Source organism: Homo sapiens, chromosome 9 (assembly GCF_000001405.40).
Source record: "Homo sapiens chromosome 9, GRCh38.p14 Primary Assembly".
Lineage (NCBI taxonomy): Eukaryota > Metazoa > Chordata > Mammalia > Primates > Hominidae > Homo > Homo sapiens.
In genome coordinates this window covers 133,986,511-134,009,545 of record NC_000009.12, presented here as the reverse complement: position 1 = coordinate 134,009,545, position 23,035 = coordinate 133,986,511, and the positions used below count along the sequence as shown (strand labels likewise).

The following is a 23,035-nucleotide window of genomic DNA, read 5'->3' as shown; positions in this document are numbered from 1 at the left end:
CCCACCCACCTCGGCCTCCCAAAGTGCTGGGATTACAGGCATGAGCCACTGCGCGCCCAGCCAATAAAGCAGTTTTTAAAAAGTTAATCCTGACTTGCTCAAGGATATCAGCAAAAATTGTGGAGCAAGGAACTCCCAATTCTGCCCCTTCATAAAGGCAAATGAAAAAATCTGCAAAAATCATCACAGTAAAATTGTTTTGCAGCTCAGGAAATTCACAGGCAGCTTGCAGCCACCGAAGGAAGAGTGATTCAAAGAGAACGGCTGATGTTCATTAGGAACGGTGAACTTGGTGGCTTTTTCATTTATCCCAGTCACATACCCCACTTCCTACAAAGATTTTAAGAGAATTGGACTAGGATCAACACAGCTAGCTTGGCCCCGATGGGACAGAGAAGGTACAGAATGAAAAGAGACCTTTTGCCCCCAAGCTTCTAAGGCAGGAATGAAGTTAGGCTCAACAACAAACACAACACAGCCCTCCAATACCATTTGACACCCAACACAGACGCCATGTTGTGCGGGACACCATGTCGCAGTTACAGGAAGGAAAAAGAATTTGTGCCAAGAACCATGAGGAATCATTCCTGGGGGCTCCACGAAGGAAGTGGCAAAGTGCCCCACTGGCTTTGAGAAATGATGGACTTGGGGCTGCTATGTGCTCCCCAAAGACTGTGTTGCCGCTCTTCGAACTGGAGGGTCTACAGCAGCTTGTCCTGTGTCCACTGGGTGTGCAGTCATTGGGTGTGGGGCAGACAATCGGCCTCTTAGTCTTCCGTCCACATTGGAGAGGAACTGTAACAGGTAAGCTGCACCTGAGGCCTCTCATTTGCACCTGGACCTAATTATATCACAAGAGCAGGAGGCCAGGACAGACGTGGCTTTGCAGGGAGGGGTGGGTGTATTCTGCATGTGCAAGGAATATAAGTAATTCATGGCTAGAGGATGGACTGCTTTGGATTTAAACATGTCAAATGCCTTGACACTTCTCTCATCAAAATTGCAGCATAAGCCAAGGGCAGTATTGCACACCTGTAGTCCTGGCTACTCAAGAGGCTGAGGCAGGAGGACCACCTGGAGGGCAAGGCCTGGGGGGTCAAGGCTTCAGGGAGCTATGATGACACCACCGTACTCCAGCCTGGGGGACAGAGTGAGACCTTATCTCAAAACAAACAAACAAACAAAAAACAGGCTGGGTGCGGTGGCTTGGGAGGTCAAGGCGGGTGGATCACTGAGGTCAGGAGTTTGAGACCAGCCTGGTCAACACGGTGAAACCCCGCCTCTACTAAAATTACAAAAATTAGCCGGATGTGGTGGCGAACGCCTGTAGTCCCAGCTACTCAGGAGGCTGAGGCAGGAGAATTGCTTGAACCCGGGAGGCAGAGGTTGCAGTGAGCCAAGATTGCGCCACTACACTCCAGCCTGGGCGACAGAGCGAGACACTGTCTAAATAAATAAATAAATAAATAAATAAATAAAATTGCAGCCTAAGCCTTCTCCCCTTGAATGTGTGCTATTCTGAGTGACTCTTTTCTTTTTTTCTTTTCTTTTTTAGGGGACAGGGTCTCGTTCTGTCACCCAGACTGGAGTGCAGTGGTGCGATCACAGCTCACTGCAGCCTCAACCTCCTGGGCTCGAGTGAGCCTCCTGCTTCAGCCTCCCAAAGTGCTTGGGTAACAGGTGTGCACCCCTGCACCTGGCCCCTTAGTGAGTCCTTTCTAAGGAGTAGTATGTGGCAACAGCAACACCGCGTGGCTGGATGGTGGCCTCCATCTGGCTGTCTTGGCCTTGGGACGCTTGCAGGGGCTTCTCCTGGACTAGCTTGTGTTCCTTGTTGCTCTCTGCACTGCACGGCTCCTGCCCATTTCCAAGCCTGGGCTTGTGAGCTTCCTAGAGATACTGTGAGCTACTGATATTCTTTCCTGATCCGTTCGTGGGGTGTTGGATTCTCTGACTTACAGGTGAGAGCTCCGTATTGGCTTCCTGGGGCTACTGTAACAAATTTCACAAACTTGGTGACTTCCAATGACATATTTATTCTCTCGTTCTGGCAGTCAGAAGTCTGGAACTAAGAGGTCGGCAGGGCTCCCCCACTCCAGAGGCTCTGGGGGCATTTTGTTCCGTGCCTCTCTCCTGGCTTTGGGAGGCTGCCAGCAATGTTTGGCCTTCCTTGGCATCACTCCAGTCTCTGCCTCTGTGGTCACTGAGCATCCCCCTCTTCCGTCTGTCTCTCCTCTGTTTATCTCCAACAAGGCCACATCATTGCATTTAGGGACTGCTCAGATAATCTGGGATGATATCCGTAGTTAATTACATCTGCAAGGACCCTTTTTCCAAACAAGGTCACACGAACAGGTGTCAGGGATGTGATGTGGATGTATCTTTTGGGAGCCCACCATTCAACCCAGTGTAAACCCTAATGCAGAAATTGGTGCAGAAAAAAATGGGGAGAATCTGGGATTGGCTATCTGGCCAGGCTGTGGCAAAAAGCAATGAAGATACTGCTTGTCTTAGGGAACGGGACAAAGGGTTGTCCCCTGGGCGTCCCTGGGAGGAGGAGCCCAGTGAAAGTCTCTGGGGTTTCGGGGTGGTGCCCCCAAAAGAATTCAATGGCTATGTCTATGGTGTGGGATACGTTTAAAATAGCTCTTCAAGAATGAGAATAAGGCCAGGTGCCGTGGCTCATGCCTGTAATCCCAGCATTTTGGGAAGCTACGGTGAGCATATGGCTTGAGCCCAGAACTTCAAGACCAGCCTGGGAACATGGCAAAACCCTATCTTTACAAAAACCAAAAACCAAAACTGAAAACAAAACCGAAAAAAATAGCTGTGTGTGCCGGTAGTCCCAGCTACTAGGGAGGCTGAGGTAGGAGGATCACTTGAGCCCAGGAGGTCAAGGCTGCAGTGAGTTGTGATCATGCCACTGCACTCCAGCCTGAGCAACAGAGTGAGTGCCTGTCTTAAAAAAAAAAAAAAAAAAAAAAAAAAGAGGCCGGGCGTGGTGGCTCATGCCTGTAATCCCAGCACTTTGGGAGGCCGAGGTGCACGGATCACAAGGTCGGGAGATCGAGGCCAGCCTGGCCAACATGGTGAAACCCCATCTATACTAAAAATACAAAAATTAGCCAGGTGTGGTGATGGGTGCCTGTAATCCCAGCTACTCGGGAGGCTGAGGCAGGAGAATCGCTTGAACCCGGGAGGCGGAGGTTGCAATGAGCCGAGATCATGCTACTGCACTCCAGCTTGGGCAACAGAGCGAGACTCCGTCTCAAAAAAAAAAAAAAAAAGAAAAGAAAAAGAAAAGCTAAGATTCCTAAATTTTAGTTCAAAGAACAGACCAATAGCCCAAGGTGCCGTCTGACTGAAGCTGACCTGTGGCAGCGCATCCAGGAAGGGGCCCATACCAGCCTCTAACAGGCCCAGAGGTTTCTTTTTTCTTTTCTTTTTTTTGAGACAGAGTCTCACTCTGTTGCCTAAGCTAGAGTGCAGTGGTGCGATCTTGGCTCATGCAGCTTCTGCCTCCAGGTTCCAGTGATTCTCCTGCCTCAGCTTCCCAAGTAGCTGGGATTACAGCCTGACTATTTTTTTGCATTTTTAGTAGAGACGGGGTTTCACCATGTTGGCCAGGCTGGTCTCGAACTCCTGACCTCAGGTGATCCGCCTGTCTTGGCTCTCTAAAGTGCTGGGATTACAGGCATGAGCCACTACACCGGGCCAGGCCCAGAGGTTTCAGAGGGGTCACAAGGAGTATGACTTTCGGGTGTGTTGCCCTAGGTGTCCCCGACCTGAGTCTGTGGCCACACTGGGTCCCAGTCAGGGTCCTGCTGTTGACCAAAAATACTTGCTAAGCTTGTGAATCTGCCCTTCTCTGGAGCTCCTCAGCTTGGGCTGGGCCAGATCTCAGCTTTTTCTCCCCGACAGCCACCAGAGCTGAAAGCCTCTTTAGAGAAGCTGCCAAAGAGGTCCTCTGGCTTTCCTGCCTCACTGGAAAGGGTGATCAATGGCCCTCAGCTGCTCGCTGGCTTTCCTCAGCGCATTCAGGCCTCCCTGCAACAGCCATCCATGGCCACCCATCTAACGATGAGCCCCCAGCCGCTCAAAAGTCTGAGGCATCGCACCCACCAGTATGTTCCCTCCCATGGGCGTCTCATCCCAGCTCACCACTGGGGGAGGTTTTAGCGATTGCTCCCTTGTGCTAGGGACTCTCCGTGCCCACCTGCCCTCAGCAATGGGGTTCCTTAAGGTGAGCCAGCCCATAATAGCATGCAGGGGTTAGCGTCCTTGGGCTCCTCCAGGCACCAAGTGGTGGGAGCGGAGGGGAGGGGAGGGGGCAGGACGCCACTGGCTACTGGGGCATAGCAGGGTCCATTTCACCTGGAGAAGAGGCGGCAGGGCCAGGAAGCCAGCAGGTCCCTCCTGGGGCACGGCTGGCAGCACTGCTTGACCCTTTCGGGCCGTGGTAGCAGGAGGGCTGGGGACACAGCTGGGCATGGGTATGTGGGGATGGCGGCCATTGACAAAGGCCTGTTGCAAACGCAATGAGAACATCAGTGATCAGCACCTGGGCGCAGAGCTGGCCGGGTTCATGACACCCCGGGCTGCCAAGGCAGACAGATCATGAGGACCGTGATCTGCGATTTGGCCCTGGAGGGACAGAGAAGGGAAGCCGTGGGCTGGGGGAGGAGAAATAATAACGCAGTGCCTGGTGCAGCTCAAGTTAAATGTTCCACAGGAGGACACACCTGTGCTGGTGCACGTGCCTGTCACCGTGGGATGGCCCCATGTCCGGGTGGCAGTGGCGAGGGTGTGAGCAGGGGCCTCAGAGTGGCCACCTCCAGGCTCACATCTGAGGCAGCCAGGGCCTGGGAGGAGCCAGGCCAGCTGGGCCACACTCTGGGCCAAAGGTTCCCGGTGACAGACACAGAGGGGAGCTGTCCAGGCTGCACGTGACCTGCGGGGGCTGAGCATCCACTTCCCCACTGCCTGCCCTTTTTGTCGTGGGGCGCTGGGACCCTGGGTGGCCCCACTGGTGTTTGAGAGAAGCGGGTCCACCCTCTGCCGAGTAAGCCCATGGGAGCTTGGACCATTCAGGGAAGTGAAGATGGCTATGGGAGGGACTTCCTAGCGTCACGGCAGGCGAGCATGGAGCTCTGAGCTAGGACCCTGGAGGAGACTGCATGGGCCCTGAGCCAGGGGAGGGTCAGCTGTCCTCAGCGCTGGGCATGCGGCCATCTCAGCGCCCTGGGTACCTGCTGTGCCCATTTCACACAGAGGCCAGAGGCCAGAGTTTTGACTCGCCTGCCCAGGGCCTCAGAGTGACTGGGTGGAGCCCCTACTTGGGGAAGCCCCTGGCTCTCCTACAGACAGCCCCGAGCATGTGTGAGAGGCTGGGGAGGCCAGACCTTGGGGTTCTTCTCAAGGGGTTCCCAGTCTCAGGAGGCCATTCCTACCGGCCTCTCCCATCCTGGATGTGCCACAGTCACCACTGGGGTCTGAGATCAACATCTCCAGCCTGAGCCCACCCGTGGGCCCCACAGAAGCTGCAATCAGACCTTCACATTCTCCCACGGGATGGAGCCAAGAAATTCACCATGGCCCTAGCAGCAAAACCCACTTCTTTGGAGCCAGGATGAGCCTGGTGACCCTGGGAGAACACTTGCCTTGGAGACCTCTGATAGGTTCAGCACAGTTGCCACACAGCATCAACATGAAGCTTGGGGTGTGTGGTGGGATGGGAGGGGGCTCAGGGCATCTGCAGGTGTCTAACTCTGCTCAGAAACAACACAGCACCCTCTAGGACCCCTGGGACCTCCCTAGCAGACAAGAGGCCAGGGCAGCAGCCTCTGTTTCTCAGACACATCTGACACCTCCCTCCTGACACTGTGACAATCCTAGACTGGCTCTGCATCTCCCCAGGCCTTGCACAGGGTGGATGGATGGATGGATTGATGGATGGATGGATAAATGTACAGATGGATGGATGGATGGATGGATGGATGGATGGATAAATGTACGGATGGATGGATGGATGGATGGCTGGATACATGTACAGATGAATGGTGGATGGATGGTTGGGTAGGTGGATAGACACATGGGTGGATGGGTAGATGGGTGGATAAATGGGTGGATGAATGATGGATGGATGGATGAGTGGATGGGTAGAGGGTGGATGGATAGATGGAGGGCTGAGTGGATGGATGGGTGGGAGGATGGAATGGTGGATGGGTGGATGGGTGGATGGGTGGATGGATGGATGGATGGAGGGATGGGTGGATGGGTGGATGGGTGGATGGGTGCGTTGGTGGGTGGATGGGTGGATGGATGGGTGGATGGGTGGGTGGATGGGTGGGTGGATGGATGGGTGGATGGATGGGAGAATGAACTCATGCTGGTGTCTAACTCTCATCAGTTGTGCTCAGAAACAACACAGCACCCTCTGGGACCCCTGAGACCTCCCCAGGAGGCAAGGGGCCACGGTGGCAGCCTCTGTTGCCCAGAGACATGCTAGACCCTGTTCTGGGTGCTGGGAGGACAAAAAGGAGGTAAGCCCACAGGCCAAGCCCCCAGGCCAAGCCCCCAGGCCAAGCCCCCAGGAGCCCACCCCACACCCAGGCAGACATTGCAGGACCTCTAAGCAAGGTACAGAGGGCACTGGGGAGGCCAGGAGATGGTCCCTGAGGGAAGCGATGGCTGAGCTGGGTTTTAGGAGACATACACATTTCCTGGGGGACCAACCTCCCATGGGCCCACTGCTGGACAAAGCCAGACACAGCTTGGTGTGGAGAGAATTTCAAGAGCATGAGTATTGTAGGATTTGGGGTGGGTCTGGAGAGTGGCATAAATTAGACTGAGAGGGCTGTGAGGGGTGCAGAGGGCCTTGAGAATCATGCTTAGGAGGCTGGATGTGCTCAGAGGGTGGGGGACCCAAGACTGTTGTTTTGTTTTGAAATATAACAAACAGCTTTATTGAAATAGAAGTTGCATGCTGTACAATCCACCCACAATTCAGTGCACAATTCAGCGGTTCTTGGTATATTCACAGAGTTGTGCAGCCATCGCCACCATCAATTTTATAACATTTTCATCCCTCCCCAAACCCCTGTACCCATGAGCAGTCACTCCCCCTCCCCACCTCCTGGCACCTCGCAATCTACTTTCTGTTTCTCTGGATTTGCCTGTTCTGGACATTTCATAGAAATGGAATCATACAACGTGTAGCCTGTAGCCTTTGTGTCTGGCTTCTTTCACTGAACATAAAATTTCGAGCTGCATCCATGTTGTAGCATGGATCAGAAAACTTCATTCCTTTTTAAGGCTGAGTAATATTCCACCATATGTTTATCTGTGTTTTTTGTTTTTGTTTTCATTTCGCTCTTGTTGCCCAGGCTGGAGTGCAATGGCACGATCTCGGCTCACTGCAACCTCCGCCTCCCAGGTTCAAGCAATTCTTCTGCCTTAGCCTCCCAAGTAGCTAGGATTACAGGTGCCTGCCACCACACCTGGCTAGTTATCATTGGGTTTTTTTTGTGTGTATTTTTAGTAGAGATGGGGTTTTACCATGCTGGCCAGGCTGGTCTCGAACTCCTGACCTCAGGTGGTCCACCTGCTTCAGCCTCCCAAAGTGTTGGAATTACAGGTGAGAGCCACTGCATCCAGCCCCGTGTTTTGTTTTGTTGGACTTTTGGGTTGTTTCAGCATTTTGGCTGTTTTGAACAATGCCGCTATAAATATAGGTGTGTAGGGTTTTATGTAGACACAAAGGTGGGCTTTGAGCAACAGGGGGCACAATCAGATTTAAAGGGGTCATTCTTCCTGCAGGTGGGGATGGGGGTCAGATGGAGAAAAGAGCCCAGAAAGGCTTGGCCAACCCTTGGGGAAGTATCACCCACACTCTCTCCCCAGTTCCCAGCATATGCACATGCACACGTACACGTATGTGTGTACATCTGAGCAGTCTCCAAGGCCTGCTATTGTTGAGTGTCCCAGGGACAGGCAAAGCTGGCCCAGTTCTGAGCTGATGGAGGAGAAGAGTCTCTTTAGTAGCAATCCTTGCATTCTTGTATTGATATGGGGGGGTCAGCCTCAGCGCGGAACTCTTTACATCCCCGCTCTCCCAGAACCCCTATGGCCACGGGTGGGGCAGATCGCAATATGGCCACTCATGAGAGAGGAGACAGAAGCTCATGCTGGTGGGGCAGAACCAGGCTTCAGGCAGGTGGACCCAAGTCCAAGTTCAAGATATCAGTGGCCACCAGGCATGTGTGGCTTCTGAGCTCTTGAAATGAGGCTTGTCTGACTGAGGAACTGAATCTTTATCTAATTTGTTTTTTGTTTTTTGAGACAGGGCCTTGCTCTGTCTCCCAGGTGAAAGTGCAGTGGTGCAAACATTGCTTGCTGCAGCCTCGACCTCCCGGGCTCAAGCGATCCTCCCACCTCAGCCTCCTGAGTAGCTGGTACCACAGGTGTGTGCCACCATGCTTGGCTAATTAAAAAAAAAAATTGTAGAGATGGGGTCTCACTGTGTTGCCCATGCCGGTCTCAAACTCCTGGCCTCAAGCAATCCTCCTGCCTCGGCCTCCCGAAGTGCTGAGATTACAGGTGCGAGCCACTATGCCCGGCCTCTAATTTTAATTAATTTAAAAATTGATACTCAATTTCATTTTTGGCAAACTTCTAAGTTTACGGGAAACAATTTGGGTATGCAAATCTACTTTTTCAACTGTGAATTCTGTGAAACCTAAACACATATCAAATGCGTCTGATGAAAATTTAGGGTTCAAACTGAAGTCCGCTATCAGTGCAAACCACATGCTGGATTTTGAAACTTGGCGAGAAAAAAGAATGTCAAATGTCTCTCTAATAGATTTGTACATTGATTACATATTGAAATGATAATATTTCAAATATACTGGATCAAGTACAGTGTATTACTAAAGTTGATTCCACTTACTATTAATTATTTGTCAGCCATAAAAAGGAATGAAGCCCTTCCTGGTGCACGTTCATGGTGAATGGAACTTGGCATCATGCTGGAGGGAAGAAGTCAGGCACAAAAGGCCACACGTTGGCTGATTTCATTTAGATGAAGTGTCCGGAACAGGCAAATCCATAGAGACAGGAAGCAGCTTAGTGGTTGCCATGGCTGAGGATGGGCAGGGTTGAGGAGGGCAGCTAAGGGATACGGGGTCTCCTTTGGGGGTGGCAGAAATGTCCCAGAGTTGGAGTACGTGAGCTGTGGTCTGGCAGGGGTGCTGTCTAGCAGGGTAGGGGTGGGTATGTCTCCTTGGCAGTGCCCTTACTGCGCCTCAGGAGGTGCTGTGGCTAGAGGACAGCTGGAGGGGCCCAGGACAGGGTGGCATTGAATGCCATTAAGGGCATGGACAGGCTTAGAGCCCAGTGTCCCTTGGCCGTGTCTTCCTAGCACCAGGGTGTGCTGCCTCCCTTTCAGTAAGAGCCAAAGTTTCCAGAGTTCGGCAGGCTGAGTCTGCCAAGGACCACATTCAGGAGGCTCCCCAGCCTCCCCCTTGTATCGCATAACTCATAACCCATTCCCATAACTCACAGCTGGCCATGTGGGTCTTGGCTCATCCTCCTAGCTGGTCTGGGCCTCGCCTCCCTCTCCTGCTTTGGGTTGGCCTGCTGGGCTGTGATGAGAGGGCTCCTGCAGAGATCCCAAGTCCACCTCCACACGCTGCCCAGCCTCTGGCCTACACTTGCATGAAGTCCGTTCACATTCACGGAGGGAAGACTGTTTCCCCCTTCCTTAAAGCCTTGATTAGGTGACCCTGAACTCATGAGCTCAAAGACTCCAGGCAGTGCTCACAGAAAACTGCCCCGGTCTCCTAAATAGTCACTGGAAGGTGTCCAAACAATGGCCACTTGGCAGTGAGATTTCAGAGATTTCAGTTTAGGGTACGATCCATGGATTATGGCATTTGATTTAATTTTGAAAGTTGAACAAGAAGTAAAAAATCTATATTTTGCCCTTTCAAACAAAATGTAAAAGCCCCCACCCAATAATTCAGTCAGGCATACTCTGACTGCATGGTGGGCCAGATGGTCTTTTTCTACACCTATAATTTCCCAGGAAATTGTGACAGCTGAATTTGCATGATGTAGCTACAAATGGAATTTGCACAATGTGTGTGTTCATGTGGTTTGGACATGAGAATAATTCCTTTATCCCATCATGTTGGGAAGAGTCAAAACATTCACTTGCCCTTCCTCATGAACAAAGCCAGTGCTCAGTCAGTATTTTCTATGTGGAGGATGGAGGATGGGTGGAGGGATGTGAGGGATACACAGAGGGATGAATACAGGGATGAATGGAGGGATGGGTGGGGGAGGGGTGGAGAGATGAATTTAATGGATGGAGAGATGAATAGAGAGATGGATGGGTGGATGGATGGAGGGATGGGTGGATGGATGGAGGGATAGGTGGATGGATGGAGAGATGGGTGGAGGAATGGATGGGCGGAAGAATGGGTGGAGGGATAGATGGAGGGAGGGATGAATGTGGGGGTGGGTTGAGGGATGGATGGGGGAGTAATGGGTGAAGGGATGGGTTGAGGGATGGGAGAAGGAGGGAGGGACATAGGAGGGGTGAGTGGAAGAATGAATGGAAGGATGGGTGGAGGGATGGGTGGACGGAGGGATAGATGGAGGGAACAGTGGAGGAATGGATTGGTGGAAGGATGGAGGGATAGGTGGAAGGATGGGTGGAGGGATGGGTGGACGGAGGGATAGATGGAGGGAACAGTGGAGGAATGGATTGGTGGAAGGATGGAGGGATAGGTGGAAGGATGGGTGGAGGGATGGGTGGACGGAGGGATAGATGGAGGGAACAGTGGAGGAATGGATTGGTGGAAGGATGGAGGGATAGGTGGAAGGATGGGTGGAGGGATGGGTGGACGGAGGGATAGATGGAGGGAACAGTGGAGGAATGGATTGGTGGAAGGATGGAGGGATAGGTGGAAGGATGGGTGGAGGGATGGGTGGACGGAGGGATAGATGGAGGGAACAGTGGAGGAATGGATTGGTGGAAGGATGGAGGGATAGGTGGAAGGATGGGTAGAGGGATGGATGGAGGGAGGGATGGGTGGAAGAATGGATGGAAGGATGGGTTGAGGGATAGATGGGGAAGGATGGAAGGATGTAGGAGGGATGGGTGGAAGAGTGGATTCCAGGATGGGTGGAGGGATGGATAGAGGGAGGGATGGGTGGAGGAATGTGGGAGGGATGGATGGAGGGGTGAATGGAGGGAAGGACGGCGGGATGGGTGGAGCGATGAGTGGAGGGATAGGTGGAGGGATGGGTGGAGGGATGGGTGGAGGGATGTGGGATGGGTGGAGGGATGTGGGATGGGTAGAGGGAGGGATGAGTGGAGGGATGGCTGGAGGGATGTGGGATGGTTGGAAGGAGGGATGGGTGGAGGGATGTGGGATGGATGGAGGGAGAGATGGATGGATGGAGGGATGGATGGAAGGAGGGATGGGTGGAGGGATGGGTGGAGGGATGGGTGGAGGGATGGGTGGAGGGATGTGGGATGGATGGAGGGAGAGATGGATGGAGGGAGGGATGGATGGAGGGATGGAGGGAGGGATGGATGGAGGGAGGGATGGGTGGAGGGATGTGGGATGGATGGAGGGAGGGATGGGTGGAGGGATGTGGGATGGGTGGAGGAATGTGAGAGGGATGGATGGAGGGATGGGTGGAGGAATGTGGGAGGGATGGATGGAAGGAGGGATGGATGGAGGGATGAGTGGAGGAATGTGGCATGGATGGAAGGATGGGTTGAGAGACGGATGGATGGAAGAGTGGGTAGCAAGATATAGGAGGGATGGATGGAGGGGCAGGTGGAGGGATGATGGACAGACTCCAGCCTTGGGCGGAGCTCCTTTGAAGAAGCTTCAGTCTATCCCTGGGATGCTGGCTGTGGAATGAGGGTCCCCTGAGCCTTGGACCTTTTGATGAAAAGTACTGAGACCTTGCAGCAGGTCTTGGTGTTTTTTGGGGGAATACTGGACTGAGACAGTGCCCACTCTGGCTGTATGGAGGTTCTCTGGGAGGGCCTGTATGGAAAGAAACAGTCTTGAGTGAGAGGTAAACTCTCAAGCCCTTCCACTGTGGCATGTAACGCGCTAAGGGACACATGTATTCCTGTTCAGAAACCAGACCCTGGGGCTGCCCAGAGAATGAGGACACCAATTTGATGAGGGCAGCTCTGCAGAAACCCAGGGGAGGGGCGCTGGGCCGGTCGTGGACTCAGATTGTCCTGTGCCACTGCCCTTGAAATCATTATTTATCAGTAGAAAACAAAAGCAAACCTCTCAGCTGGAGGCATAGGAGAAGGTGGACCTGAGTTCGAATCTGAACTCTGCCAGTTGCATAACCTTGGCCAAGTCACTCAAGCTATGTGAGCCGACCTCATCTGTAGCACAGTACGATGACAGTCCTCGCCTCCTAGGGTGTGGGTGGTCCTGGCTCAGGGCCTGGGTGCAGGAAGGACGTGCTGAGTTGTAGGTGGAGCATCACTCGTGGTGTGAGTGACTGGGCAGAGAAGCCAGAGGGGAAGCCCAGCCATGCTGCCCACATAAGGGCAGCCACCTGTCTACCCACTCCTTCCTCCAAAGGTCTCCTCTCTGGGACCCCGAGGATCCAAGAGTCACCAGGTTTCCAGGACCTCCAGGATGCGTGGATATACTTCCAGCTGCCCTTCCCTCCTTTAAGTCAGTGTCGGACCCTTCGGCTCCCGTTTCTTAGCCTTGCTACTCCTGCCTGTACTAAGGGCTCATTTCGGTACCACAGTGGCGGGGCGGGGGGGTGTGCCTGTGGGCTCCAGGCACTGCGCTCTGTTGCTGACTCCGTATCCACGTGTTCTAGACATCAGATCATTTTCCCTCCCTCGTCACCTCCCCACCCACATCAGTGCATTAAGGGAAAGCAGAAAGTTCTAGGCGTGGAAAGCCCTTTCAGCAGCAGCCTCTATTTAGGGGTGCACACAGGTGTCAATAAGGCCTGGCGTTTGGACTTGGCTTTTTCCTGTGTTGCTGGGTGACCTTGGGCAGCTCACCAATGTGCTTGGTGAGCTGGTTTTTATGTTGGACCACTCAGTACAATAACAGTGACTAGAAGTGATGGAGTGGCTTGTGGTTTAAAGGAGGTGACCATCACCTAGGCCGGCCACTCAGACTCAAGACACAGGATTGGTTACTGCAACTATGAATGCTGTTAAAATATAACGGCTTGAAAGTGACAATGTGCGACGTAACTGCAATCTTACGTAGTGTAACGTTAATTCACATAGCGATAGTGTTAAAATATGCCACAAGTCAATAAATAAGATTATATTGCCTTTTATTTTTTATTTTTTTTGAGATGGGGTCTCACTTTGTCACCCAGGCTGGAGTGCAGTGGTACGATCTCGACTCGATGCAACCTCTGCCTCCTGGGCTCAAGTGATCCTCCCACCTCAGCCTCCCAAGTAGCTGGGACTATAGGCGTGCACCACCATGCCAGGCTAATTTTTGTATTTTGGTGGAGACAGCGTTTCACCTTGTTGCCTAGGCTGGTCTTGAACTCCTGGACTCAAGGGATCCACCCGCCTCAGCCTCCCAAAGTGCTGGGATTACAGGCATGAGCCACCACGTCCAGCCTCCGATTACATTGCCTTTTATAAGCTGTCTTTGGATCAGTTTAACGCATCTGTGGCTTCCATGAAAGAATATATTGGATTTAAAAATTACAATTACAGTGATTTGCTAGATTTTACCTCCAGTGAGGCGGGAGCCCCGAGGTGCCCATCCGCGCAGAAGAGAGACAGGGTGTCACTGAGGGCCGACTGGGTCCTTGCTGGCTGCGGAGGACAGGTGGAAGGGTGGAAGCGGGTCCAAGGAGAGGGGGCCTGGGGCTTGGTGGGGGTGGGCCAGGAGGGGGCAGATGCTGGACAGAACAGGAAGGTGGACTGCTGGGACTCGCTGCCCACATGGCTGCCGGGGAGAATGAGACAGGAGCTCAGGAGGACACTGCGGTTTATTGTTCAATGCCTGAGATCATGGCAACACTGAATTCCTTTGTGGTTTAAAAATCAACTCCTGTCCAAGCTCTCCATCCTCCATGTCACCCTCTCCTAGTCACTGCAACCATGATCAATCTCTGGTTGTCAACTCAAACCTCAGTTTCTCCTGGAAGCCTTGCTGCTCCCTCCCCGGGTGTGCCCTGCCTGGTGCCCTCCTCCGCCACCTGTGACCCTCCCCCATACTTGGGGTATGTGGCCCATGCTGGCACTTCTTGCTCCCTGGTTTAATCTGCTCGGCTGGACTGGCAGCTGCTCACTGGCAGTCTGTGTAAGCAGCTCCCCCTGGAGCCCATCTCCAAGGTGTGATGGGACTCTCGCCCCCTGGAGGTGTGCAGCAGGCAGTCCTGGCAGACAGCCCTGAGTCCAAGTGGACATGGATGGTGGTAGGATTTTCCCAAACAGCGTCCTCTCTATTAGTCTTCCTGGCATGTGCCTTGAGTCCACAGTCTCAACCTGTTCATCATTACACTCACACTAAAGGTTACAAAGGGAGCTCCTGCCCCATTTTCTTTACCTTTTATTTTATTTTTGAGACAGGGACCCACTGTGTTGCCCAGGCTGGTCTTGAACTCCTGGACTCAAGCCATCTGCCTGCCTGAGCCTCCCAAAGTGCTGGGACTACAGGCTTGAGCTGCTGTACCTGGCCCCACCAAACTTTTGTTCTTTGATTCACATCCATCCTGCCCTCAGAGCCTCCAAGGATTCTGGGAGGTGCACAGGGCCGGTGAATGTCCTATGCCGATCAGGACCTGGGAACCAGGGAGGCCTGAGTGGCTCAGGGCCACTGTGGTGAAGTCTGTGTCTCCTGAGTTGGGTCTTCTCAACGGTCAACCCCAGATTTTCTGTGCAGCCCCTCCTGGGTGCAGCCAGGTGCCCCGTGGTGACAGCACCACCAGGGGGCAGCAGGTACCCATGGCATTGTTGGCGGGCGGCTGCCTGGGTCCCAGACCTGGCTGGTCCTCTTGGCCAGAGCAGGCAGGCCCAGGACCGTGAGGACAGAGGCCCCCTTCTTGCTGAGGGAGCCACCTGGGGAAAGAGACATTTAGTGCATCAATGCGCCGGCGGTCCAGGCGAGGGGTTGGGAGAGTGGGTAGCTCTTCTTCCTCTCTGAGCCCTTTCTGTCCCAGCACAGTGGGAAGCCTCTGGGTAATTTATCCGTCCATTCTTCACAAGCAAGTCCAGTGGGAGCCGGGTCTCCCCGCTCTAGAGAGGAGGGGATGAGGCTTTGCAGGAGGAGGGATCAGTGTAGGCTCTCAGATGGGGCTGGAGGGCCCCGCTCAGGTTTCACTCCTGGCTTTCTGATTTCTTAGGGAGATGCTGATGGGTCCACCTGCTGCCCCATCTTGCTTCGGTGAGGAAAGCTCTCCCCCTTGCCCTAAAGGTGCCCACTGCTGCTTCCTCGGGGAAGGGCAAGAGACCTGAGCCCCCGCCTCACCAGCCACCTGGCCTGAGTTTACTGCTGCAGGGGCCAGCTCCTTCCTGACCTCTCTCTACGGGCCAGACCCTAAGCTGGGACCCCCTGCTTCCACCTCAGTGGAGAAGGGGTGAGTCTGACTCTGCAGAGACCAATTTCCAGGACAGGACCCCCATCGGAGGCCCTGGGCCCAGGGGACCCTCTCTGCGCTCGCATCCCCGTTCCGGCCCCTGCGCAGGGAAGCCACGGGGTAAGGGGTCCGGGGGCTGCAGTGCAGCCCCAGCTCATACAGGCCCAGGATTCCACCGGAGTCCAGGGTGGGAGCCCTCAGACACCGCACCCCAGCCTCCGGGCTGAGCCAGTCTCAGAGAAGGGCTTGGACTTGCCTGGTGTCCCCCAGTGAATCAGCAGTGAAAACCCGCGGTTCCCGGCAGCTGAGCCAGGATCCATATAATTTCAGTTGCAGAATCTGTTTGTCCTTGAAGCCCCTCCTACCGTCACACGTTGCCAGCTGGACAGACCGCGCCCCCACCACCCAGGGTGTGGCCTAGAAGGGAGATCAGGGCGGATCAGCACCGGGGCCGGCTGCGACCCTGGGCCGGAGAGCACCTTCCTGCCCTCACTCATGTCACGCATTCCGCCCTGGACGCCAGGAACTGCCCGCTGGGCAGCTGCGAGTGGCCAGGACTTTGGCCAAAAGCTGGGGAATCCTGGCCTTTATGCAGGGTCGGGGGTCTTCCTATGGGCCCCCGGCCAGGGCGGAGGACAGGAAGAGGGCTCTGGGAGTCCTGGGCCCGTGTGCCTTCAGCCTCAGCCTCGGGTATCCCGCCGGGGCGGCTTGATGGGCCAAGGGGGCTCAGTAAGCTTCGGCCCAGCCCGGTGCCCTCTCCCGAGTCTGTCGTTACCGAACGGCCATGCGAGGGCGCCCAGCGCGACAGGGACCACCTCCTGACCTCCACGGAGGACCAAAGGCACCCGGGGGGACGCCCGGCCATCACTCCACGGGCGAGGTCGCTCCCCCAGGGAGAAGGGCTCCCCAAAGTCCGAGCGCCCTTGGAGAAAGTCGGCCGGACCTGGGCCTGCGCCGCAACCCCCGCCCACCGCAACTTTCGCGGGCGGTAGCGGGGCAGGAAGTGGGGGGGCGGGGGCGGCGCTTGGGACACGGGGAGGTGCCAGGCGAGTGCTCCGGCCCCGCCCCTGCCCCGCCCGGCCGTGGCCGCGCCCCCTGCGCCCCCAGCGCCCCGGAGCCGTGGAGCCGCCGAGCCGCCGAGTCGTCGAGTCGCAGCGCCGGGCGTGGGGACTGCGGGTGGGGCGAACAAAGCGGCGGCGACGCGGGCGGCCCAGGCCCGGGACGCGCGGAGCGAGCGACCCCGCCGGGCCTTTGTCTCGGGCGGGGCAGGAGCCGCGGCGGCCGCGGGGCGCCCCGAGCGCAGAATGCGGCGCCCGGCGGCGCGGATTGGGGAGCGCTGCGGCGACTGGCTGCGTGGAGCCCGGCCCGGGGCCCGCAGGCACTTGCGTGTGTGAAGCGGGGAGATCCGGCGCGCTGCCCGTTGCCCGCCCCGCGGCCGCACGTGGGCGGGAGCGGCGGCCCGAGAGGAGCCCGAGGAGTAGGAGGAGGAAGAGGAGGGGACGCACGGCGGCGCAGCGGGGGACCTGGGGCAGCCCGCGCGAAGCCCCGCCCCGGCCCTGAGCCCCGCGCGCGCGCGGGCGGGATGCCCCGCGGCCGCTGCACTTTGGCTCGAGCACTGCCCTGAGCCGGTCGGGCCCGCGGGCGCCATGGAGCAGTGGCGGCAGTGCGGCCGCTGGCTCATCGATTGCAAGGTCCTGCCGCCCAACCACCGGGTGGTGTGGCCCTCGGCCGTGGTCTTCGACCTGGCGCAGGCGCTGCGCGACGGGGTCCTTCTGTGCCAGCTGCTGCACAACCTCTCCCCCGGCTCCATCGACCTCAAGGACATCAACTTCCGGCCGCAGATGTCCCAGGTGAGCGCCCGGCGGGCGGGAGGGCCCCGGGGAGGCGGCGTTCGCGCTGCCCGACGCGCGGACTGAACGCGGAGGTCGCAGCGGCGGCGGCCCAGGCGCCCTGGCTGGGGCGGCCGGGCTCCGGGACGCGGGCGGGCGGCTGGAGGGTGCGCCCCGGGCCTCCGAGACGCGACCTCAGGAGGCGCGAAGTTGGCCAAAGTCCCCTCAGCCTGGGTCGCGCCGCCGCCGCCCGCGGGCACTGCTCTGGTGCGCCGGTTCCGCGGTCTGCGCGGCCTGGGATGGGGGAGGCTCCGGCGCTGCGCTCGCTCTGCGGGGCCCTGCGAGTGGCCCCTCATTTCCCAGGGAGCCTGCCGAGCCGGGTGTGCGCGTCGTGGGTCGCATCCTTGGGCCTCGCGCCTCCTGGCCGGACGCCGGTGGAAGAGCGGGCGCGGTCGCTGCGCCGGCCCGGGGCGCGGCTGGAGGGCCCGGGAGGGGCGCGGGGCGGGAGCCCTCGGGGCCGGAGGGAGCTGGGTTGGCCCCGGGCACCGCCCCCTCGCCGGCCTCCGCCTCTTCCCGGACCCGGACCCGGGCCACTTGGCGCCAGTCCTGGCTCCCGGGTCGAGCCGCCTCGAGGATCCCCAGGGCCACTTGGCCCCAGTCCTGGCCCCCATCGCTTTCCCAACACCCCCACCCCTCCTTCGGGCGCTGAGTGTGGCCTTTGTCGCGGCGGAGGCACGCGTGCGGCCGCAGGGCCAGGCAGGAAAATGCCTGCCCAGCCGAACGAAGCTGCTTTTCTTGGCCTCTTAAGAGGGAACTTGGCTAAGACTTGAGAGAATCGAGGCTTCCGTCCTGTTCTCCGGGGGTCGCGGAATCCTTACCGGGAGCAGCTTAGAAGAGGTCGGGGGAGGCAGAGCGGGTGGCAGCCGGGTCCACCCAGCGCCGAGGAGGTGCGGTCTTCCAGCCAGCTCAGCAGCCCCTCACCGCGCGCAGTGGCAACTCCATGTGGAGAGGGACCATTCACCAGTGGGACTTAGGACGTGGTTCCTGGGAAGGAGGGAGAGTGAGTCACCAGCGATTCCAGGCTGGGCAGCGAGGCCTCTGCCCTTTGGCGGTGACTGCGTTTCCTAGGAGACCGGGCCTTTCTCTGCCGGGTTGGGGGGCGCTGACAAAGGCAAGCCCAGAGGGGAAGGGGCCGCCTTCCCACTGGGTAATGATTACCCAGCACTGCCTGGACCGGCTTAGCAGGAGCCCTCAGAGGCCTCCCTGGGAGCCAGCGCCTCTTCCCGCAGGATGTCAGTGGTCAGGTGCAGGTGGCGGGGGTGGCGGTCACTGCTGCAGAGGGCTTCCCCGGATCTGTTCTCAGAGCCCCACGGGGACTGGGAAGTCTGGACTCCATTTTATGGCTGGAGAAACTGAGGAGAAGGGTAGCTGTTGGGGAGCAGGGCTGGGCCTCGAACCAAGGTGGCTGCCTTTGATATGAGTTCCAGGGGCTGCCCAGGCTGACTTGCTCGGGCAGGATTCCCTGCTGCTTGCAGGCTGGGGCTCAGGGCAGAGGCAGGGCAGCTGGGTCCGCACAGAGGAGGCTTGGGAGGAGCCCAGCCTTGCCTGGTGGACTCGCTGGGTCCGGGGGCTGCCCCTCCCCAGCTGTGGTTTGGGAAGATGGGAAGAGGAGGGGGCCGTGGCTGTGGCAGGTGGCTTGGCTCAGCTCCTGCACTGGAAGTTCAAGCCAGAGACTTCCTGGGGTCTCTGGAGCCATTGGCCAGGCAGCAATACGAACCCTGACAGAGGCCCCTTGAGCCCTGCTGCTGGGGGGTGGACGGGTGTCTAGGGGTCCCGCTGCTGGGCCGGTAGAGGGGTGTTTAGGGGCCCTGCTGCCGGACTCGTGGAGGGCGTGTAGGGGCCTGGATGGTAGGAGGACCAGATGGGTGTGTGTCTGTGTGGCTCTCCGCTCTGATTGAATCCTGGCACTGTCCCCTCCCAGGTAGGCAACGACCTCCAGAGCCTCAGTTTCCCCATCTCTGTCATGAGAACAGTCATAGCAGTCCCCTCGTAGCCATGCTGTGAGGATTTGCTAAGGGCAGGCACAGAAGGCACACCCTTCGCACAGTGCCCAGGAAATGACCGTCACCTGGACTGTGGCACGTAGTGCCCTGTGTCGCTGAGGCTGATCTTGCCATCCACTCCTCTGTCCCGTGGAGGGTGGGCCACCTTTGTACGGCTGTTGCCTGCACGGGGACGGCTGCAGATGCTCCCTTAACCCTCACATTGGCTGTGACAGCCCCGCCTGTTCATTCAACGTGGAGAAACCACTTTACTGCATCTGGCTGCACACAGGGGTTGGGAGAAAGACTTCGTTTCTCTGTGTGGCTGGTGTTTGTTTTCTGGGAAACTCACTTTTTTTTTTCTTTTTGGAGATGGAGTCTTGCTCTGTCGCCCAGGCTGGAGTGCGGTGGCGCAATCTCAGCTCACTGCAACCTCCACCTCCTGGGTTCAGGCGATTCTGCTGCCTCAGCCTCCTGAGTAGCTGGGACTACCGGCACGCTCCACCACGCCCAGCTTTTTTTTTTTTTTTTTTTGAGATAGAGTCTCGCTCTATTGCCCAGGCTGGAGTGCGGTGGCACGGTCCCGGCTCACTGCAACCTCCACTTCCTGGGTTCAAGCAATTCTCCTGCCTCATCCTCCCGAGTAGCTGGGATTACAGGCGCCTGCCACCATGCCCGGCTAATTTTTTGTATTTTTTGTTTTTTTTTTTTTTTGAGATGGAGTTTTGCTCTTGTTGCCCAGGCTGGAGTGCAATGGCGCTATCTCAGCTCACCACAACATCCACCTCCCGGGTTCAAGCGATTCTCCTGCGTCAGCCTCCCAAGTCGGCTGGGATGACAGGCATGCGCCACCATGCCCAGCTAATTTTGTATTTTTAGTAGAGACGGGGTTTCTCTATGTTGGTCAGGCTGGTCTTGAACTCCTGACCTCAGGTGATCCACCCACCTCGGCCTCCCAAAGTGTTGGGATTGCAGGCGTGAGCCACTGCACCCAGCCTATATTTTTAGTAGAGACGGGGTTTTACCGTGTTGGCCAGGCTGGGCTCGAACTCCTGTCCTTGTGATCCACCCGCCTAGGCCTCCCTAAGTGTTGGGATTACAGGCTTGAGCCACCGTGCCTGGCCCACGCCCAGCTATTTTTTGTATTTTTAGTAGAGGCGGCGTTTCACTATGTTGGCCAGGCTGATCTCAAACTCCTGACCTTGTGATCTGCCCGCCTCGGCCTCCCAAAGTGGTGGGATTACAGGCGTGAGCCACAGTGCCCCACCCACACCCAGCTCTTTTTTGTATTTTTAGTAGAGACGGGGTTTCACTATGTTGGCCAGGGTGGTCTCGAACTCCTGACCTCATGATCTGCTCGCCTCAGCCTCCCAAAGTGCTGGGATTACAGACGTGAGCCCCCGCGTCCGGCTGAAACTCACGTTTCTTAAGGGGTGGGGATGGGAGAGGGAAGAAGTCATCTCCACCCTTGGTGGTTGGGTCATAGAAAAATCACATCTGCCCTTTCTTACCTGCCCTGCTGTGGCCTAAGCACAAGCCTAGGTGGGGGTTGCTGCCTGTGTTTAATAGGTGAGGCCGTCAAGGTTCCGGAGAGCTTGAGTGACTCCCCATCACCCCACCACTCCTGCCCAGAGGAGTAAGTGGCAAAACCAACATAGGGATTGCAGTCTCCCTCCCAGGACTGTTTAAATAAATGATGACTGCAGGCCTTCCTAAGCTGGCTTACTCTCTTGTGGACTTTCTGAGGGATGTCCCTGGCCTCATTCTTGGGTTTTGGGTTGTCACGGTGTGTGTCTCTTTTCATGGGGTGGCAGGGGTGGGGGGTGGGTGCCTGTGATCCCTGGCTGGTGAGTTGCAGGGCCCCTCGAGCGCACACGGCGGGGAGTTGCCCACCTCCCTGCCAGTCATGGCATATGAGGCCGTCTAGCCCGGAGGCCTCTATGATGTTCCCTCCTTCCAGAATTTCCCCTGGCTTCTCATGGTGACATCCTATTTTCAGAGGACTTGGAGCGCCCCTCCCACTTTGAGTTTAATCTGGGCTGGGTTATTTGCCCTAATGGAGCATCATAGCAACGTGCATTTATGCAGCACCTGCTGTGTGCAGAGCCGGGTGCTAGGAGGTGGTCACAGAGATCCCAGTTGCCCACCTGGTCATTTCTTCTGAAGCTGGCAGGATCTACTTTATTTTATTTTGTTTTTTATCTGAAGTGCCTGGAAGCCCCGTGGGTTTAATTAAACTAATTGGGTATGGCCACAATCTGCTGACCCTAACGAGAAATCGGGTGTGTCTGGAGCAGCTTCGGTTGGGAGGTCCCGAGGTTGCCTGTGCCAGCATCAGCAGTTTGCACCCTTAAGGTACCACCCGCCGCCCAGCCTCTGACTTGCCCACATCGTCCTGGTGGCCTCCTCCTCGTAAAACACATCAGGCAGCCATTGCTGGACACCACGCAAAGGCTTGGCCCTGGGCCTGCCAGAGTCTGTCCCCCACCTCCACCTCAACTCCCTGTGCTCCCTGCCTCTTCCCGGACACGCCAGCCTGGCGATGGTTTTGGCATCCCCCCCTCCGGGCCTTTTTGATGTGTGCCATCGTGAGCTGTGCCATTGCTGGAAGACCTTCTCTCCTTCTAGCCTGGTTCTTCCTGTAGGAGCTGGTATAGGGGCTCCCTCCCCTTGGCAGCCTCCTTGGGTTTCACCCTCTCCCCACCCTGTCCTCCACGCGCTTTGAACCTCGATCTCACTCCTCCACTGTTCCAGGTTTCTCTCTGGCCTCGTGTAATGAAACTCTTTGTTTCATCACACGATACCCTTGCTGCTCCTTCTGCAAAACTCAGCAGCTGGACAGCTGGAGAGTGTGAAGGATGATCCTAATGACAGACCCAGTGTGTCTGGAGCACCTTTGTGTGGCTGCCCCCCTTCCAGGTCTGAGCCCCTCCAAGGCAGGGCCACGGCTGGGCTTCCTCCTCTCTGGGTCCCTCAGAACCTTGTGCCTTCATTCGAGAAATAATAAATAAATAAATATATAATAAATAAATAATAATAAAATAAATAAATATAATAATAATAAAACCCTGCTGTGTGCCACGCAGGCTTTGTGCCTCCAAGGGGAGGGAGGAGAACAGGCCGGGGCTGTCCCTGCTCTCATGAGGCTTCTGGTCACGCAAGGACCCCAGTGGATGTTGATGAGGTGCTTGGTGACTGAAAAGCGACATGGAAGTGCCCGAAGGGCCCCTGGTGCCAGCAGAAGGGGCTGGGCTGGTGTAGCCGAGGTCCACAACACAGGGCTGCCGGGAGCAGAGGAGGGAATGCTGGTTGCAAAGAAGACAAGGGCGTCTTTTCTTTTTTTGGGGGGGATAGATTTTATTGTCTAAAAAAATTTGAAAATATCTCAGTCATTGGAAAAGTTATGAGTACAACACAGGTAACTTTTTCTTGAACCATTTGAGGGTAAGTATGGGGCATCAGTGCGTTTACTGCAAACAAGGGCATTCTCCTCTGTAACCACAGCACTGCTGTCTCCATCCAGCCAACAGCATCAATCCGTCT

The 23,035-nt window shown here is 56.4% G+C and overlaps 1 protein-coding gene across 9 annotated transcripts in view, besides 14 other annotated features; it reads left to right on the top strand.

Moving 5' to 3' along the window:
• Positions 14,963-15,062: a silencer, noted in NCBI's record as "silent region_20471". NCBI's record gives its function as "represses an Ori minimal core promoter by ATAC-STARR-seq in GM12878 lymphoblastoid cells {active_cell/tissue: GM12878}" and the evidence as "EXISTENCE:reporter gene assay evidence [ECO:0000049][PMID:35858748]".
• Positions 15,910-16,099: an enhancer, noted in NCBI's record as "active region_29267". NCBI's record gives its function as "activates an Ori minimal core promoter by ATAC-STARR-seq in GM12878 lymphoblastoid cells {active_cell/tissue: GM12878}" and the evidence as "EXISTENCE:reporter gene assay evidence [ECO:0000049][PMID:35858748]".
• Positions 15,910-16,819: a biological region, named in NCBI's record as "H3K27ac-H3K4me1 hESC enhancer GRCh37_chr9:136857945-136858672".
• Positions 15,996-16,723: an enhancer, noted in NCBI's record as "H3K27ac-H3K4me1 hESC enhancer chr9:136857945-136858672 (GRCh37/hg19 assembly coordinates)". NCBI's record gives its function as "activates a minimal SCP1, AML or CMV promoter by ChIP-STARR-seq in naive H9 embryonic stem cells {active_cell/tissue: H9 hESC(naive)}" and the evidence as "EXISTENCE:reporter gene assay evidence [ECO:0000049][PMID:30033119]".
• Positions 16,510-16,819: a silencer, noted in NCBI's record as "silent region_20470". NCBI's record gives its function as "represses an Ori minimal core promoter by ATAC-STARR-seq in GM12878 lymphoblastoid cells {active_cell/tissue: GM12878}" and the evidence as "EXISTENCE:reporter gene assay evidence [ECO:0000049][PMID:35858748]".
• Positions 16,920-17,019: a silencer, noted in NCBI's record as "silent region_20469". NCBI's record gives its function as "represses an Ori minimal core promoter by ATAC-STARR-seq in GM12878 lymphoblastoid cells {active_cell/tissue: GM12878}" and the evidence as "EXISTENCE:reporter gene assay evidence [ECO:0000049][PMID:35858748]".
• Positions 17,080-17,229: a silencer, noted in NCBI's record as "silent region_20468". NCBI's record gives its function as "represses an Ori minimal core promoter by ATAC-STARR-seq in GM12878 lymphoblastoid cells {active_cell/tissue: GM12878}" and the evidence as "EXISTENCE:reporter gene assay evidence [ECO:0000049][PMID:35858748]".
• VAV2 (vav guanine nucleotide exchange factor 2) overlaps positions 17,222-23,035 on the top strand; it is a 230,431-nt gene continuing 224,617 nt past the window's right edge. For all 9 annotated transcript variants that reach the window (NM_003371.4, NM_001411028.1, XM_017015109.2 and 6 more), the window contains exon 1: positions 17,222-17,471. In NM_003371.4, coding sequence (NP_003362.2) covers positions 17,268-17,471 — 204 coding nt within the window. In that variant the 5' untranslated portion in view covers positions 17,222-17,267. The remainder of the gene's footprint in view (positions 17,472-23,035) is intronic.
• Positions 17,452-18,179: an enhancer, noted in NCBI's record as "H3K27ac-H3K4me1 hESC enhancer chr9:136856489-136857216 (GRCh37/hg19 assembly coordinates)". NCBI's record gives its function as "activates a minimal SCP1, AML or CMV promoter by ChIP-STARR-seq in naive H9 embryonic stem cells {active_cell/tissue: H9 hESC(naive)}" and the evidence as "EXISTENCE:reporter gene assay evidence [ECO:0000049][PMID:30033119]".
• Positions 17,500-17,589: a silencer, noted in NCBI's record as "silent region_20467". NCBI's record gives its function as "represses an Ori minimal core promoter by ATAC-STARR-seq in GM12878 lymphoblastoid cells {active_cell/tissue: GM12878}" and the evidence as "EXISTENCE:reporter gene assay evidence [ECO:0000049][PMID:35858748]".
• Positions 17,630-18,069: a silencer, noted in NCBI's record as "silent region_20466". NCBI's record gives its function as "represses an Ori minimal core promoter by ATAC-STARR-seq in GM12878 lymphoblastoid cells {active_cell/tissue: GM12878}" and the evidence as "EXISTENCE:reporter gene assay evidence [ECO:0000049][PMID:35858748]".
• Positions 18,180-18,907: an enhancer, noted in NCBI's record as "H3K27ac-H3K4me1 hESC enhancer chr9:136855761-136856488 (GRCh37/hg19 assembly coordinates)". NCBI's record gives its function as "activates a minimal SCP1, AML or CMV promoter by ChIP-STARR-seq in naive H9 embryonic stem cells {active_cell/tissue: H9 hESC(naive)}" and the evidence as "EXISTENCE:reporter gene assay evidence [ECO:0000049][PMID:30033119]".
• Positions 18,908-19,635: an enhancer, noted in NCBI's record as "H3K4me1 hESC enhancer chr9:136855033-136855760 (GRCh37/hg19 assembly coordinates)". NCBI's record gives its function as "activates a minimal SCP1, AML or CMV promoter by ChIP-STARR-seq in naive H9 embryonic stem cells {active_cell/tissue: H9 hESC(naive)}" and the evidence as "EXISTENCE:reporter gene assay evidence [ECO:0000049][PMID:30033119]".
• Positions 19,636-20,363: an enhancer, noted in NCBI's record as "H3K4me1 hESC enhancer chr9:136854305-136855032 (GRCh37/hg19 assembly coordinates)". NCBI's record gives its function as "activates a minimal SCP1, AML or CMV promoter by ChIP-STARR-seq in naive H9 embryonic stem cells {active_cell/tissue: H9 hESC(naive)}" and the evidence as "EXISTENCE:reporter gene assay evidence [ECO:0000049][PMID:30033119]".
• Positions 20,364-21,091: an enhancer, noted in NCBI's record as "H3K4me1 hESC enhancer chr9:136853577-136854304 (GRCh37/hg19 assembly coordinates)". NCBI's record gives its function as "activates a minimal SCP1, AML or CMV promoter by ChIP-STARR-seq in naive H9 embryonic stem cells {active_cell/tissue: H9 hESC(naive)}" and the evidence as "EXISTENCE:reporter gene assay evidence [ECO:0000049][PMID:30033119]".